At 44.4% G+C, this 15662-nt stretch overlaps 2 annotated features.

Moving 5' to 3' along the window:
* Positions 10340–10839: an enhancer, noted in NCBI's record as "H3K4me1 hESC enhancer chr1:59388117-59388616 (GRCh37/hg19 assembly coordinates)". NCBI's record gives its function as "activates a minimal SCP1, AML or CMV promoter by ChIP-STARR-seq in primed H9 embryonic stem cells {active_cell/tissue: H9 hESC(primed)}" and the evidence as "EXISTENCE:reporter gene assay evidence [ECO:0000049][PMID:30033119]".
* Positions 10840–11341: an enhancer, noted in NCBI's record as "H3K4me1 hESC enhancer chr1:59387615-59388116 (GRCh37/hg19 assembly coordinates)". NCBI's record gives its function as "activates a minimal SCP1, AML or CMV promoter by ChIP-STARR-seq in primed H9 embryonic stem cells {active_cell/tissue: H9 hESC(primed)}" and the evidence as "EXISTENCE:reporter gene assay evidence [ECO:0000049][PMID:30033119]".

Genomic DNA, 15662 nt, shown 5'->3' with positions numbered 1-15662 from the left:
CCAGGGGAAAGCAGCAAATAAAATCTCCCTTGAATGCAGGGCTGTCCTGGGGTAAAGCAAACACACTTGTCCCAGGCAGCTGGAGGAAGGAGCTGGGAGGGCAGATTGAGGAAAGGCATTACACAGAGGCAGGAGCACAGCCTAGGCAAAAGCCTAGAGGTAAGAGGTATAGCATCTGCAGGAGAAATGGCAGGATGCCAGTCAATGAGGTGCAAAGGGCGTGTGCATGGAGGGTGGGGCCAGGCCACAGAGGGCATTGCAAGGCGGACCAGCCCAGTCCAGTTCCTGGGCCTGAGAGGGCTCTGAAGAAATGCCCAAGGTGGCATTTCAGGGAGATTAGTCAGACTGATTGGACAGACGTGCTTGCCTTGCAACACTTTCCTGCCTTCAAACCACAAGCAGTATTTTAAAAATTAATCTTGTGTCTTACCAATATTATGTACATAGTTCAAAAAGTCAGATAGTTCTACAAAGCCCATTCCCCAGCCCCATTTCCCTCCACGCCCAAATCTTACCACCCAGAGACAGCCACTGTTCAATATTTCTTCCAGTATTTAAGTCCGTGCTTCTAAATATTATGTCTACATGTCTCTTTCTTAATTTTTTCATTAGTTATATGGCCTACTGACTTTCCATTACAAAAGAGAACGACTTAGCTCTCTTCTGTCATGGAAACACTTTACCTTTCCCAACTTTCCAATCTAGATATAACATTCCTTTTGTTAGATTAGTTTTTATAGCATTGTGACCACATAAATCACAGCTAAGCCATATTGTATCATGATTAAATTTTTGCTTTTATATGACTTATTCTTTTCACTGAAACTGCTGCCTCATTTAAAAAAAAAAATCTATTAGCTTTATTTCCTAGGTACACACATCCCTCTCCCCTCAGTGAGAAATTTAAGTCTGCTCTCAGAATCTTCAAGCACATCAGGTAATCAAGCCATCCATCTTGCTTCCTTCTGGAGCTCTCAGTGGTCCTGTTCTCACCTGGATGTTTGTTCTCTGTCTGCTGCCAAGATGTAGCTGTCCCCCGGATGTGGCAAGGGCATCCCTGACGCCAGACAGGTGAACATCATTCATCTATAGATTTTACTCAGAAAACACCTACTGTGTGCTTCCAGTTGCCAAAGAGGTCCCATGCTGGAGGCTGGAGATGCAGAGGTGACTTGGATACAGTTTTTACCTTCGAAGGGCTCTCAGCCCAATTGGGATAAATACAGTTAAGTGATGGGCCAGAAGTAAGCCTGGACGTTATGGGAACTCAGCCTTTGGAAGAGCCAGGAGTTATGAAAGGCTTCCTGTAAGAGGTGATGCTAAATGAGCCTCGGCTCGTTAGGAGGAGTTTTCCAAGTGTTATGGGATCAGATTCCTGGTAAGAGAACATTATGTGCACAGTCACGGGAGCATGACAAGACATGACTCCTTCTGGAAATTGTAAGTAATTAATTAGTGATGATCATGTGGGAGGGTTCCAGTCGAGGGGTGGGCAGGGTCCTGTGTGCCAGGTTAAGGGACCTGAGGGCAGTGGGGAGCTACTGAAGGATTTTAAGAAGGGGTGACATGGTCAGGCCTGCATTTAGAAGGGCTAGTGAAGGGGACATTGAGGTCTAGCAGAGGATAAAAAGGCCTGAGCTAACACTGGCACTGGGAGTGAGGCATGGGGCTCAAGATACCTTTTAAAGAAACCAAATGGACTGGACTTGGGGACACAGGGGATGTGGGGATGACCGATAATTCCCAAAGGAAAAAGTGTTTCGATTCCACATATGTCTCCTGGGAAACCTGAAGGTACTCTAGGCTGGGAAAGCTACTGGCCTCTTGGGGTATTTGGGGACCAGACATGCTAAGGGGGTGGATACCCAGAGACTAAAGGAACAGGACCCGGGCCTAGGGTCTCTATAAATTGGAGAGCAGAAGCAAGACTGAAAGACCATGTGGTGGAAAGGGTTGGTGCAGCCTGATAGGTAAGACCATGAGCTCTAAGCTCAGGCAGCCCTCAGTTTAAATGCCAACTCTGTCAACTGCTTGTTGAGCCTCAGTTTACCCATCAGAGAAATGGGGATCATAATACTACCTACCTCATGGAGTGGTTGTGAGGAATAAATGAGACCTTATCTGTAAAGCACCTGGCATGATGCCTGGAACAGAAGAAGTGCTTCGTTTTGTGTCTTCCTATTGTTGGTCTTGGAGAGTAAAAACTGCTTCAAAGATCAGGTGACATTTGAGGTGATCTCAGAAAAGGAGTAGGCAGAGATGGCTTCATGGGCAGGCCCACAGGGCCATGAGCACAGAAGAGCCCCATACATGATTGAATGTTCTGCTCTACCATCTTGAAATTCTCAACGATTTTTGAGCAAGGAGCCCCCCATTTTCATTTTTCACTGGATGCTGCAAATTCGCTAGCTGTGCTGTCATAGGAGACCATTCGGCAGAGAAGAGGAGGGGAATGCTTTTGAAGCAAAGGGGCTTTAAGTGTGCAAAGACACGCTGGAACTCAAGGCTCAGCCTGTTCTGAGAACAACCAGCACGAGTTATGATGTTCCTAGCTGGAGAGTTGTGTACGAGGTAGAAGCTCCAAGTGGAAAACAGTGAAAGGCCTCAAATGCAACACTAAGGAATCTGGCTGTTACATATTGTATATGTGGGGGGCTTCCAAACATTTCAAATCTGAAAATGTTAAGGTCATTGATGTTCAGGCAGAACACTGGTGAAACTGGAGGTGGAATGGTGTGGAAAGTGTTGTGATCTGTATTTTATAGAAGAGAAAACTGAGTCCTAGAGAGGTGATATGAGCATGGCTGCAATATGATTTTCACAGGCCCTAGGCAATTTTGCCTATGTGGACTCCTTTCTCCAGAAAAGTGTGCATGTATGTGTGTGTGCGTAAAATTATACTTTACAACTACATTGACATGAAGACAAAGATCTTACTATTCTATAAGAAAACATTTTCTTATAGACCCAAGGTGCTGTGTCTGCTGTGCTGAACAAGTAAGTCATCCGGGATGTCAGTTGCTCTCTTTTCAGATGTTGTAGCCAGGACTCCTGGACCTTTCTGGAATGGGTGGGAAGTCCTGTTTCTCCTCAAAGGGAATGCTAGCTAGTCCCAAAGGTCATTTCAACTGGGGCCTTCTGTGCCTCCAGGGACACTGTGTTCCAATCTCCTACAGAAGGAACTGAAGTTTGTCTGGGTTTGGAACTGGAAGGTGGGGCTGACTGACAGGTAAAGGAGACAGAGTTGTGAATGTTCTGGGGTTTGGGGAGAAATCAAAGGTCTCATATCTGCAGATGTTTGCGACTTTGCCCTTATGTCACCTACAGCTTCAACCCCAGGGACTGGGCTGCCTACCTACTCCACCCACGGGGAGGGCGGGGAGGCTGAGTCAGCGGCGGCGGCTGAGGATGTCTGGAGAGGAGAAAGATCACTGTCTGTCTGTCTGTTGGGGTTCCAGAGAAACCTGTCTGGAGAGGGGGAAGCATGCAGGCCTTCCTTTGCACGTACGTCAACTGCTCACGTAGCCAGGAGAGTCGACAGAGGTTCTAGAAGGATAGTCCCTGCTTTACCTCCTTCCTGAGGCTTTCCTTAAAGATCTTCACTGGCCTTCTCTCCCTTTCCCCCTGAAACCCGGGACAGTGACAGGATGGCCTAATTCATGAGCTTCAGTCCAGTCCTCCCCCTCTCCCAGCTTTGACTACTCATGTACCTGGTGGGGAGGGAGAATGGCAAACAAAAGAGAGCATAAGGAGGGCGGAGGGACTATTTGGGAAAGAAAAATAGATCTGGCATAGCAGTCCCTTTAGGTCTCAATCTTCAAACCTGGGCTTTCTCTGGGCCCAGGGGTTTATGAGTGAATGAATGAATGAATGTTCAACCTTTCCTGGTCTTAGAAGTCACCCCACTGTCTGTCCTCCAGTTCTTATGGTCAGGAGATACCCAACTGCTTCTAAAATAGGAAGGAAATTGATCAGAAAGGAAACCTGCAGATAAATTTGAGTGAGAATTATTGAGACAGTTCCTACCTGATTACCTCTATTTTCTCTACAAAGGCTGAAGGTTTGGTGGGATGACAAATAATAGGAATCGCTACTGCATAGAGGAGAAGGGATCTGACTGGGAATTTGCAAACACATTACAGGGCAGTGTGTGGCCCCTGTGATTTTGGTGGGTAAGAGTAACAGCTAATGTTTCTTGAGCAGTTATTATTGTCCAGGCACTGGGCTTAGTGCTCTGTAGACGTGACCTCTTTGGTCTTCAGATGCACCTAAGAGGCAGGTGCCCCAGTCAAGATGAGCCAGGTCATACTACAGGAATTACAAAAAAAATTCTAGGTGGCTGCAGACACAAAGGTCTATTTCTTGCTCCTGCTCCATGCATCCATGAATGTGGCAGGGGGAAGAGGTATGGCAAGTTGCAAATCCGAGAAACCAATAAGGTTTGAAAGACTGGGAAGGAACAGAGAAAGGGGTTCAGAGTCTGGAATTCAGGAGGAGGTCAATGAGTCAGTCTGAGGAGAGCTCTGAAAAGATAAGAGGGAGGGGTCAGAGTGAGACCCAGCTATTTGAGATTTCAAAGGTGGAGCAGTAGCCAGCCGAGATGAAAGCTGGGTGCGGCTCTGAGTATAGGTGGCTGCCGCGGAATAAAGCAAAGGTCCCTGGAGTTGAGGAGGTCGAAGGTGGGAAAGAGGGAGCCACACTTCTAGTCTTGGGGAAAAGGGGGTCTGGAAGGATGCAACAAGCCCCTGGTGAAGTACAGTGTAGCTTCTTGGGTTATAAATTTTACCAGGACATGAGATTTGTAAATAATGTTTTAATAGCCAAACCTGGGAATAAAATATAAGATTTCAAAAAAGTGTGTGTGGAGGTCCACATGCCTCTACCGTGGAAAGCTGGAGAAGCACTGGGTTTGAGGGGGCCACTTACCCGTCATAGATGACAGCAAACAGGAGGACTAGAGATGCAAACACCCAAGGACCAGGGTCTTTTCTGATTTCCATCTAATGATGATAATAATAAGAGCTAACAGTTCATGAGAGCTTATTACATGCTAGGCACTGTCCTAAACACTTTAGGTGTATAGCTACTTCAGTCATCTCATGATGTCCTGTAGGGACATACCATTTTTATTCCCATCTTACGAGATGGAAAAAGAAGCCTAGAGGAATTGTGTAAGTTGGCCAACGTGGCATCACTAGTGTAAGTCGCAAGTGGGATTTGAACTCAGGTAAACCAGCTTTAGAACCCATACCCTTAAATGCTGCACTAGTGGTTTTCCAACATGGGTAATCACTAGAATTGCCTGGGGTGGGGTGGGGTGGAGGATTTGTTAAAGCAGGATGTTTGGTCCCTCCCCTAGAGTTTCTGATTCAGTCAGTCTGGAGTGGAGCCCAAGAATTTCCATTTCTAAGAAGTTCCCAGGTGATCATTGAGCAGCTGGTCCCAAGGCTGCACTTTGAGAACCTCTGTTCCGCTTCATACCACCTCGCAAATAGACACACACACCTTCTCTTAGTGCATGGCAGATCCAGCATCTCTTTCCAGATGTGATTACCAAATGTGTGGCAGCAGGTGTATCTGTTTCACAGGAGGGTAGAGGATTAAGGTGTAGGTAGCATTAGGGGACATAAAAGAAGCTCAGTCCTGCTTCTTGGCTTTGAGGTGTGTGGAATATGAAAAAACAAACCATCTCCATGGGGACAGCAAAGTATACAGGTTCCACTTCAGATCCAGAGACAAAGGCATGCAGAGAGGTGAGGTTTTAAGTGGAGTATATTTGGCACAATACGGGGATACTACAGGGCACAGTAGGAAGAGGGAGCAAAGAAGACAGCAGCAATGGGAAAAATGAGCAAGAGTTGGATGTGAGTGGGGTACTGCTGAGGGAGACAGGAGTTGTCTAAAGAGAGCAGTGCTGCAGGAAAGAAATGCAGACAGGCAGTCCCTGGAGATGTTCCTGAAGTTGTTGCTCTCCAGTCCACTTTCAGAATCTTCCCAGCGCAGAAGCTGATGACAAATAAGATAGAAACTGATGCCCAAATAGAAGTGAAAGAGCTTGAGGCTTCTCAGGGAAAAGGAAGAGAAAGAAGTTCAGAGTGAGTCAAAATCAGGTGTTGGCCTCTGCAAAGCCAGCTTTTAAAAGCTTAAATGCCCTTCCCATTCATTCCTTTGCGTGAGTGTGTGGGCCACTGCAGTTTCCCACCCGCCATCTCTCCTGCAGTTTGTGGTCCAGCTTAATTAAGAGTTCTGCTGGTCCATTAGTGTCGTTCACCTCTCTAATTGGGCACCAGCTGTGTTTTCTCTTGACAACGACTCCTTTATGGAACTTCTAAAATGCATTACATGAAAAAACATAACTGTTTCAGGGTTATATGATTATAAAACCAGGAACACTTGTTTTCTATAGAAATGAAGAGTTCATCTTTCTATGTTCCAGAAACTGTTTTTTGAAAAATGGGGAGGGGGAGTATTGAAGGGCGAATTCTCCATTTGTTTATGTTCGGAATATGAACGCTGATTGTGGTTTTGCATAATCACAGGTGTTGGTGCATAAAGACTTGGGAAGTTTCCTGGCAGAAAAGTGAGACTTGAGAAATTGAACCATGAATGGCTCCATTTACGAACAGCCACCGATGATTGACAGAATGACTATTAGTAGCTAATATTAGCTGAGCTCTTCCTATGGGCTTAACCCTATGCCAAGCACTTGACATAGATTACCTTGTTTAAACCTGGCTGTTGCCTTATGGCCTTATTAGATGGGGGCAATTACTTTCCCCATTTTCACAGATCAGAAAACCGAGTCCAAGGAAGATGAAATAATTCATGTTTAAGGTCACACAACTCAACATGCAGTGGCTGAAGTGGAACTGAAACTCAGGTCTGTCCCATGCCAAAATTCCTTTCTGGTTCTCTCCAACTAAACAATGCAATTAACTGGTGGAGCTAAAGTGCTCTGCTTGCAACAATTGCAAATATCAACAACAATCTCCCCTAACATTGGTACAGAGCTTCCAAGTCACCAAGTTCATTTATGTTTGCTGCCTCATGTGATATGACAGCCCTGTTGGAGAAACAAAGCAGTTACCATAATCCTATATTACAGATAAGAGAACTGATCTAGATTCTCAGGGCTAGATTACTTAACCAGGCACACACTACCAGTAAAGAATGGAGTCAGACCTTTCTAATTCCTAATCCAAATCTAGTGTCCATATCGCTACTTCCTACCCTCTCCCAATGTAGGTTTCTTGCTGAAGAAAGGGAAGATAGACAGACAGATAGGTAGGTAGGTAGGTAGGTAGACAGATGCATAAATAATAGATGAAAGATAGATATTTCCAATTATTCATTTATTCATTTGTGCCTTTATTCATTTAATTAGCTATATTATATTTTTAATTTCCCTATCCTGATCACTTATAAGTTTATTTAGTTGCTGCCTGTCACCCCTCCTTGGAATGTGAGCTCCATGAGAGCTGGCCCTTGTCCCTCTTTTTTTTTTTTTAAATCAACTTTTATTTTAAGTTCCAGGGTACATGTGCAGGATGTGCAGGTTTGTTACCTAGGTAAACGTGTGTCATAGTGATTTGTCGCACAGATCAACCCATCACCTAGGTATTAAGCCCAGCATGCATTAGCTATTCTTCCTGCTCTCCTTCCCCTCACCCCAACCCCGATAGGCCCCAGTGTGTGTTGTTCCCTCTCATGTGTCCATGTGTTCTCATCTTTCAGCTCTCACTTTTGTAAGTGAGAACATGTTGTGTTTGGTTTTCTGTTCCTGTGTTAGTTTGCTGAGGATAATGGCTTCCGGCTCCATCCATGTCCCAGCAAAGGACATGACCTTGTTCCTTTTTATGGCTGTATAGTATTCCATGGTGTATATGTACCACATTTTCTTTCTAATATATCATTGATGGGCATCCTTGTCCTTCTTGATAATTATATTTCCAGGTCCCCAATAATGCCTAGAACTTAGAAGATTCTTAATTAACATTTATTGTTGAATCCATTCAAACAACTATTAATTAATTTGCTCAGTAAACGTTTATTAAGTATCTACTATGTGCCCGGCACAGTTAGGTCTGAGAGATACTGCCCTGAAAGAGACAGGTACAGTTCCTACCTCCATGGAGCTTTCATTCTAATAGGGAGGGGAGATTTATTCACAAGTAAATGAGATCATTGCTGCTGATTGGGATTTGCATCATGTGGGGCTTACCAGAGTGATGTGATAGAAAGTTTTTGTTCTAGAGCTGTTCACATGCTACTGAGCCAGACCTTGCAGCCCCCGAGGCAGTTTCCATCTCACATGATTAGTAGGGGCTTTACAAACTCAGAGACAATGCAGTTAACTCAGAGTGGGAGGGATTGGGTGGGGAGGAATCAGGGAAGGCTTCCTGAAGAAGAAGCATCCCAGTGGTTTTAAAGACGACTAGAAGTTCTCCGGGAAAGGGGTGGGGAATATTCTAGGCCTGTGCAAGGACAGGTGGCAGAAGGCCAGTGGGCACACTGCAAGGGGTGACTGAGCCTTAGTGTGAGGTGGGAAGAAAAGAGGTGAGGGAGACGGGCATGAATCAGGTCCAGAAGCACCCTGTTAGGATGGTTAGTTTTATGTGTCAACTTGACTAGGCTATAGTACCCAGATATTCAACCAAACACTAATCCAGGTGTGCTGAGAAGGTATTTTGTGAATATGGTTAATACCTAAAATCAGTTGACTTTAAGTAAAGAAGATTGTCCTCAATCACATGAGTGGGCCTCAGTCAGTCCATTGATAGGCCTTAAGAGCAAGACTGAGATTTCCCTGAGAGAGAAAGAATTCAGCTTGTGAACTGCAGCTTCAGCTCTGCCCAAGAGTTTCCAACTGGCTGACCTGCCCTGCATATATCAGAAATGTCTAGCAAGATCCCACAACTACAGAAGCTAATTCCTTGAAGTAAATCTCTAGATAGACAGATAGATAGATGATAGATAGATAGATAGATAGATAGATAGATAGATAGACAGACAGATAGAAAGAGAGATAAGATGGATAGATTAGATTATATATAGATTTGATAGATAGGTGGGTAGATAAGATAAATAGATAAATTAGATAGATAAGGCAGATGATAGGTAGATAGACAAGATAGATAGATATAGATAGAAGATAGAAAGATAGATAGATAGATAGATAGATAGATAGATAGATAGATAGATAGATAGAATCCTAGTCTCTTACTGATTCTGTTTCCCTGATAGACTCCTTCCTGACTGATACACATCTACCTAGCTAAGAGACTTAGACTTCATCATTAAGGTGATGGGAAGGACTCATGGAGGGTTTAAGCAAAGGCGCAGCATAACCAGATTTGTGGGGGTTTTTTTTTGTTGTTGTTGTTTGTTTGTTTGAGATGGAGTCTCGCTCTGTCACCAGGTTGGAGTGCAGTGGCTCAATCTCAGCTCACTTCAACCTCCGCCTCCCAGGTTCAAGCAATTTTCCTGCCTCGGCCTCCAGAGTAGTTGGGACTATAGGCACACGCCACCATGCCCAGCTAATTTTTGTATTTTTGGTAGAGACAGGGTTTCACCACGTTGGCCAGGATGGTCTCGATCTCTTGACCTCGTGATCCACCCGCCTCGGCCTCCCAAAGTGCTGGAATTACAGACGTGAGCCACCGTGCCCAGCCTGTGTTTTTTAAAAATAGCTCTGGCTGCAGTGTACAGTGCATTGGACGGGGCAAGCCTGGAGTCGCTGGGAGACCAGGTTGGAAGCAGTTGCCTGAACTAAGTCATGGCAATGAGAACATCCAGAAAAGAGGGAATCAACTCAAGTGATACTATGGAAGCAGAATTGGCAAGACTTGGTGGCCAATTGCAAAAGAGGGTGAGGGAGAAGGGAGTTACAAGGAGCCCCAGACCCTTGGACATCTTGGTAGAAGCAGGGTAAGTGCTATAAGAGCAGGGACTATGTCCTCTCCTTTGCTGTAAACTTTACTCCTTGAACAGTACCTGCACCTGGAAGGTGTTTATTACACATTTACTGAATGAATGGCCGTGCAATTCTCTGAGATCCAGATCACGGGTTGGATGATTGGGTGGTGAGGATGAGGAATACACAGTGCAGGAGAACCTCCTTTCTCCTCACTCCATATACTCTCAGAGTGACTTCGGTCCAGGCTTGTGGTATTAAGCACCCTGGGAGTATACAGAGTGAGGAGAAAGGAGATTGGGGACCGAACCTTGGAGAAATTGCAGCATTTAAGGACTGAAGGAAGGAAAGGATCCCTTAGAGGAGAATGAGAAAGTGGCCAGATGGGGAGGAAGGGAATCAGAGGCCACAGAGTCAGAGAACACACCAGGACAGAATGCTCCCACTGCTGCTGAGGGGTGTCATTTAGATTTACAACAGTGACCTTGGGCAGGGCGGTTTTGTTTGGCATCAAGGGGACAGAGGCCAGACTGCAGACATTTGCAGAAGGCATGGGAAATGAGGTAGAAGAGGCAGTGTCTCCAGTGGTTTCTCTCAACCTTCCTACCAAAGAGTTGACAGACAGCTCATTACCACCTCATTTTAAAGGGCCTGAAACTGAGGCACACAGAGACAAAGTTGGTTCAAAGTCATCAGCAAAGGGGAGTTCTGCTAGAAGACCACAGCTGTCCAGACCGCACACTACCTTTTATGACTTGGCAGGATACAGACTTTGAAAGAATGGTTGTGCAGGGTGGGGCCCAGGCCCTGTACCGGCTGATCGCTGACGACGTGCAGGGCAAGAGCCTCCAGGGCGTGCGAGAACATTTTCTCAAGGGGAACCACCTTCCCTTGAAACAGCTTGTTCTGCTGAGTTGACAGGAGAGAGGAATGGGGACTCCTCAGTCCCGGGCCTTGTGCCAAAACACGGAGCAAAGGCTCCGGGGAGGCTGGGCCTGGCTGCCGTCTCCCTGGGCCCTGTGTGGGCCATCCCAGCACCTCTAGCCTCTCAGGGCACTGGAGTGAGGCCGCATGTGTCAGATTTGTTTGTTTTGAACTAATATTAAAAGAGTACTTACTATGGGACAGACCCGATATTCATCATTTTATGTACTCGAATTTACTAAATCCTCATTACATTCTTTAAGGAATGTATGCTGATTGTCCTTATTTAAAGATGAAAAATCTATCCCAGAGAAGTGAAGTCACTTGCCCAAGCCTTCACAGCTAGTTCTGTAGGTGGGAGAGCAGGGATGCTCAACTTTTGAACCTGTGGGGTGGACAAATATTTAGCCTTGGAGTGTGGGTTCAAATCATCCCCAGACGCAGGAATAAGGATCCAGGTCAGGTCAGGCTTCCCTCTCTGGCTCTGGGACCTTGGGTAAGTTACATCACTTCTCTGAGACTCGGCTTCCTCATCTGTAAAATGGGAGACATGTTGCTCACCTCACAGGATAAAAGAAAATGTTTTTAAAGTATCTCATGGAGAGTCTCCAGTCTAGGGTGGGTGCTCCATGAAGGTTAATTCTCCTTCCCCCTCTTTTTTTCCCCCCAATAAGCTTTGGTCCAAACCAGTATGTTGGAAGATTAGGGCAAAAGAACTGGACTGTGAATCAGAAAAAAGCAAGAGTCTAATGCTGCTTCTGAAGCCTAATTATTTATTTTGAGCAAGTCACTTTTCCTTGATAGAGCCTCAGTCAGTTTCCTCAGCTCTAAAATATGGGAAGATCAGCTTAGTCCAGGATGGCATTCAAGCCCCAAGCACCTCCCTCCATGCCTTTGCAGGCATCACCAATTGATCATGACCTTTTCCACCGAGCCAGAGTAACACCCAAGAACTCTTCTTAGTAATGACTTCCTATAGGTTGTGTGTAATTCTTCCAGTAAGCAATTACGCCGTGGGTTAAATCACCATATTTCAAGAATGTACTTGCTGAGATGCAAATCCCTCTGATAAAGATAACATATTAATCTTGTCATCTATTTGCATTAGTAAGGATAAGTTCATATAGGAGCTCCAGAAAGCACAGGTAAGTTTGTTGTTGCAGTTTTGTGTTTGGGGTTTTGTTTCATCTTAAATCGGGTGGGGTATAGATGAATAAGCCTGGGATAGAGGATTGATCTGTGCATCCAGAAGAAAACAGGGAAAGGGACAGTTATCGAGAGGAAGTGACCAGTAATCGCAGTATACAGATGAGAACACTGTGCTGGAAAATGAACCAACCAACTGAATTAGCTATTTTCACAGCTAGTAAATGGCAGAGTTGGGATTCAAACCCAAGCAGCTCCACCTCCAGAACTGACAGCTATGCCATAAATGCAGAATCCATTTATTTAGTCCAAAAGTTATTACTGAATGCCTACTCTGCACCCAGCACGGTTTTTAAACCTGGGGATGCAGTAGTGAACAAAATTGTCCAAATGTCTTGCCTCATGAAGCCTATAGTCTAGGATCACATTGACTTGGCACCTGTTATGTGCCTAGTGCTTCACCAGCACTGGAGACAGTGAGGCCCAATGTCAATAGCTCTTCTTGGCAGGAACATATGTTTGAATCTTAGCTCCACAGCTTCCTATTAGATGAGGGAAGCCATTCCATCACTTTGCTCCTCAGTTTCCTCTTTGAAACATAAAAAGAGTAACAGCTACTTCCAAGGATTTCTGTGAGGTTTAAACAAAGCAATATTTGTAAAGCACACAGTATTGCAAATTTGGGATACTCAATACATTGTAACTAGCATTATTAATTCTGTATCCTCTTTTTTTATTTTATTATTATTATACTTTAAGTTTTAGGGTACATGTGCACAATGTGCAGGCTAATTACATATGTATATATGTGCCATGCTGGTGTGCCGCACCCGTTAACTCGTCATTTAGCATTACTGTATCCTCTTAACAGCTATATGAAGTACGTACTGTTTTCTCCATTTTGCAAGAAGGCTATTGAGTCTTTGAGAGTTTAAGTTTCAGAGAGGTTAGGTAACTTACCCAGGGTCATACAGCTAACCAGTGGTGGAACTGATATTCAAATCCAGGACTACTTGACTCCATTGCCCAAATATAACACTGTGGCCACATTTTTTAAATTCACAATTGGAGTAGCTGCAAGGCAATGGCAAACCATGTTCCTCTTTGGCGTCTTATGCAACAAACCATATGGACCCTCAAGCTCTTACATAACTGGCCCAATGCTAACAAGAGGAAGTTTAACAACAACACAAAAAACAGATCACATTCACAACAGACCACCATATGTTCTCCCATCCCCTGACAGCAGCCATCCCAACTCCTACTCGGGCGCCCACAGAAATCTTCTCCACAACAACAGTTTTATTCCCAAGTGACTCAAACGATTGATGCCTTTATAAAAAGAAGGGGCAGCAGGGAAGAGTCTGCACTCCTTCAAAAGAAATCAATCTCAGTAACTCCTCGGGAAAGCCCAGAAACCTTCAGCCTCTACTTGGCCTTTTCTTGGAACCTGGAAGCTTCTGTGGGGACGGCATGGACTCTGAGACATGGCAGCCCCCTCACTCAGAATGAGGGAGGCCATGATGATTTCTGGTTTCTGTGTTTACAAGCCAGATAGCCTGGGTTGTTTGGGTCACCCGCTTCACTTGCTCTCAAACTCTTACATACTTTGGTGTTCTGGTGCTCAGCTAGAGAGTCTCAAGTTTGCTGTAGGCTTTCTGGAAGTGCCACTTCTGGAGCTGAACCCAATTCTGGAAGGCTGGTTTGACTGTGAACATCAGGCAAGGGGTACCTGTCCATGCCTCCAGGCCAGGCACCATCTTCGTCCTCTATGTATAATGTTATGCCTAGTCTCCTGCTTCCTTCACCGCCTCCCGTCCATTTCCCTGCCCCGCAGCCAAAGCAATCCTGCTAACATGTGAATCCACTTCTGTAGTGCCACTGCATAGATCATGTCCACGTGGCCCTGTGCAGGCAGGATAGCCTTCACGCTCCTTATGGCCCCTGTGGTCCTGCATGCTCTACCCCTTCACCTCCCTTTGGCCTATACCCCTGGTCCTCTAAGCTCCAGACACATTAGCATTCTTTCCATTCTTTGTGACTGTACTTGCTTTTCCTTCAGCTCAGCCCATCCATCCATTCTCCTTCTGCTCACTCCTCATTTGTTTTGTTTTGTTTTTTAGACACAGTCTCGCTCTGTTGCCCAGGCTGGAGTGCAGTGGCATGATCTTGGCTCACTGCAACCTCCACCTCCCGGGTTCAAGCGATTCTCCTGCCTCAGCCTCCAGAGTAGCTGGGACTACAGGCACACACCACCACGCCCAGCTAATTTTTGTATTTTGTAGTAGAGACGGGGTTTCATCGTGTTGGCCAGGATGGTCTCTATCTCTTGACCTCATGATCCACCCGCCTCGGCCTCCCAAAGTGCTGGGATTACAGGCCTAAGCCACTGCACCTGGCCACTCCTCTTTTTTTGAATCTCAGCTTAACTGTCACTCTTCCTTCTCTTTTCCAACAGTTTATTTGGAAAAACTTATTTTTCCGAATAAATAAGTTTGTTATTTAGAAATAAATAAATAAGTTTATTATTTGGAAATAAATAAAAAAGTTTATTATTCTTTTTCTAATTTTTTTTTCTTTTGTTTTGGAGATAGAGTCTTGTTCTGTCGCCCAGGCTGGAGTGAAGTGGTGTGATCTCAGCTCACTGCAACCTCCGCTTCCTGGGTTCAAGCAATTTCTGTGCCTCTCCCTCCCCGATAGCTGGGATTACAGGCTCCTGCCACCTTGCCTGGCTAATTTTTTGTATTTTTAGTAGAGACGGGATTTCACCATATTGTCCAGGCTGATTGTCCATGTTGTCCACCGTGTTGTCCAGGCTTGAACTCCTGAGCTCAAGTGATCCACCTCAGCCTCCCAAAGTGCTAGGATTACAGGCGTGAGCCACTGCGTCCAGCCTCTTTTCCTATATTTTTAACATATGTTTGGTCTATCTGTTTCTGTACTTTTTAATTAATGTAAGTACTGAGGTATGAATTTTCCTCTGAGACTGCTTTATGGTATCTCATGGTTTTGATATATAATATTTTCATTAATGTTGTTTTTAAACTTGTCTGTCTAAATTAGAAGTTATTTAAATGAAGTATGTACATCACTAAATTAATTTTTAAATTTTATTATAACTTTCTTGTTTGGTTGCTTTGTAAGAAGAGAATATTACCATGAGTATCTCTGCATTTTGGAATGTTCGAGGTTTGGGCAGCTAATATATGATAAATTTTTATGAGTATAAAATGAACATTTGAAAACAATATAAAATGTGATCTCTATTTTCAGAGTATATCGTTTGAAACATATCAATGAAATTGGCTTTATATTTGTTATTTAGGTCTTTGTTACATTTAATTATGTATTTTATTTACTTATGCATGTATTTATTTATTTATCCATCCACTTGATCTATCAGGGATTGAGAAAATAGGTTACATTTTTGTACCATGATTATTTTGTTGTTAATTTTGTACCATGATTATGTTGTTGTTAATGTCTTCTTACAGCTTTATGAATATTTCTGCTGTGTTATTTTGGGTATAGATTTTCAAAATTCTTGTAGCCTCGTTGTGAATTTCACACTTCATCATTGTTGCATACCCCTCCTTGTCTGTTTTAGTTTTTTTTTTTCTTTAACCTGAATTCCGCAGTTTCTCATATGAAATGGCAACCTCAGCGTTCTTTATGTTTG

Source organism: Homo sapiens, chromosome 1, assembly GCF_000001405.40.
Source record: "Homo sapiens chromosome 1, GRCh38.p14 Primary Assembly".
Classification (NCBI taxonomy): Eukaryota; Metazoa; Chordata; class Mammalia; order Primates; family Hominidae; genus Homo; species Homo sapiens.
This window is presented reverse-complemented; position numbering and strand designations above follow the sequence as displayed.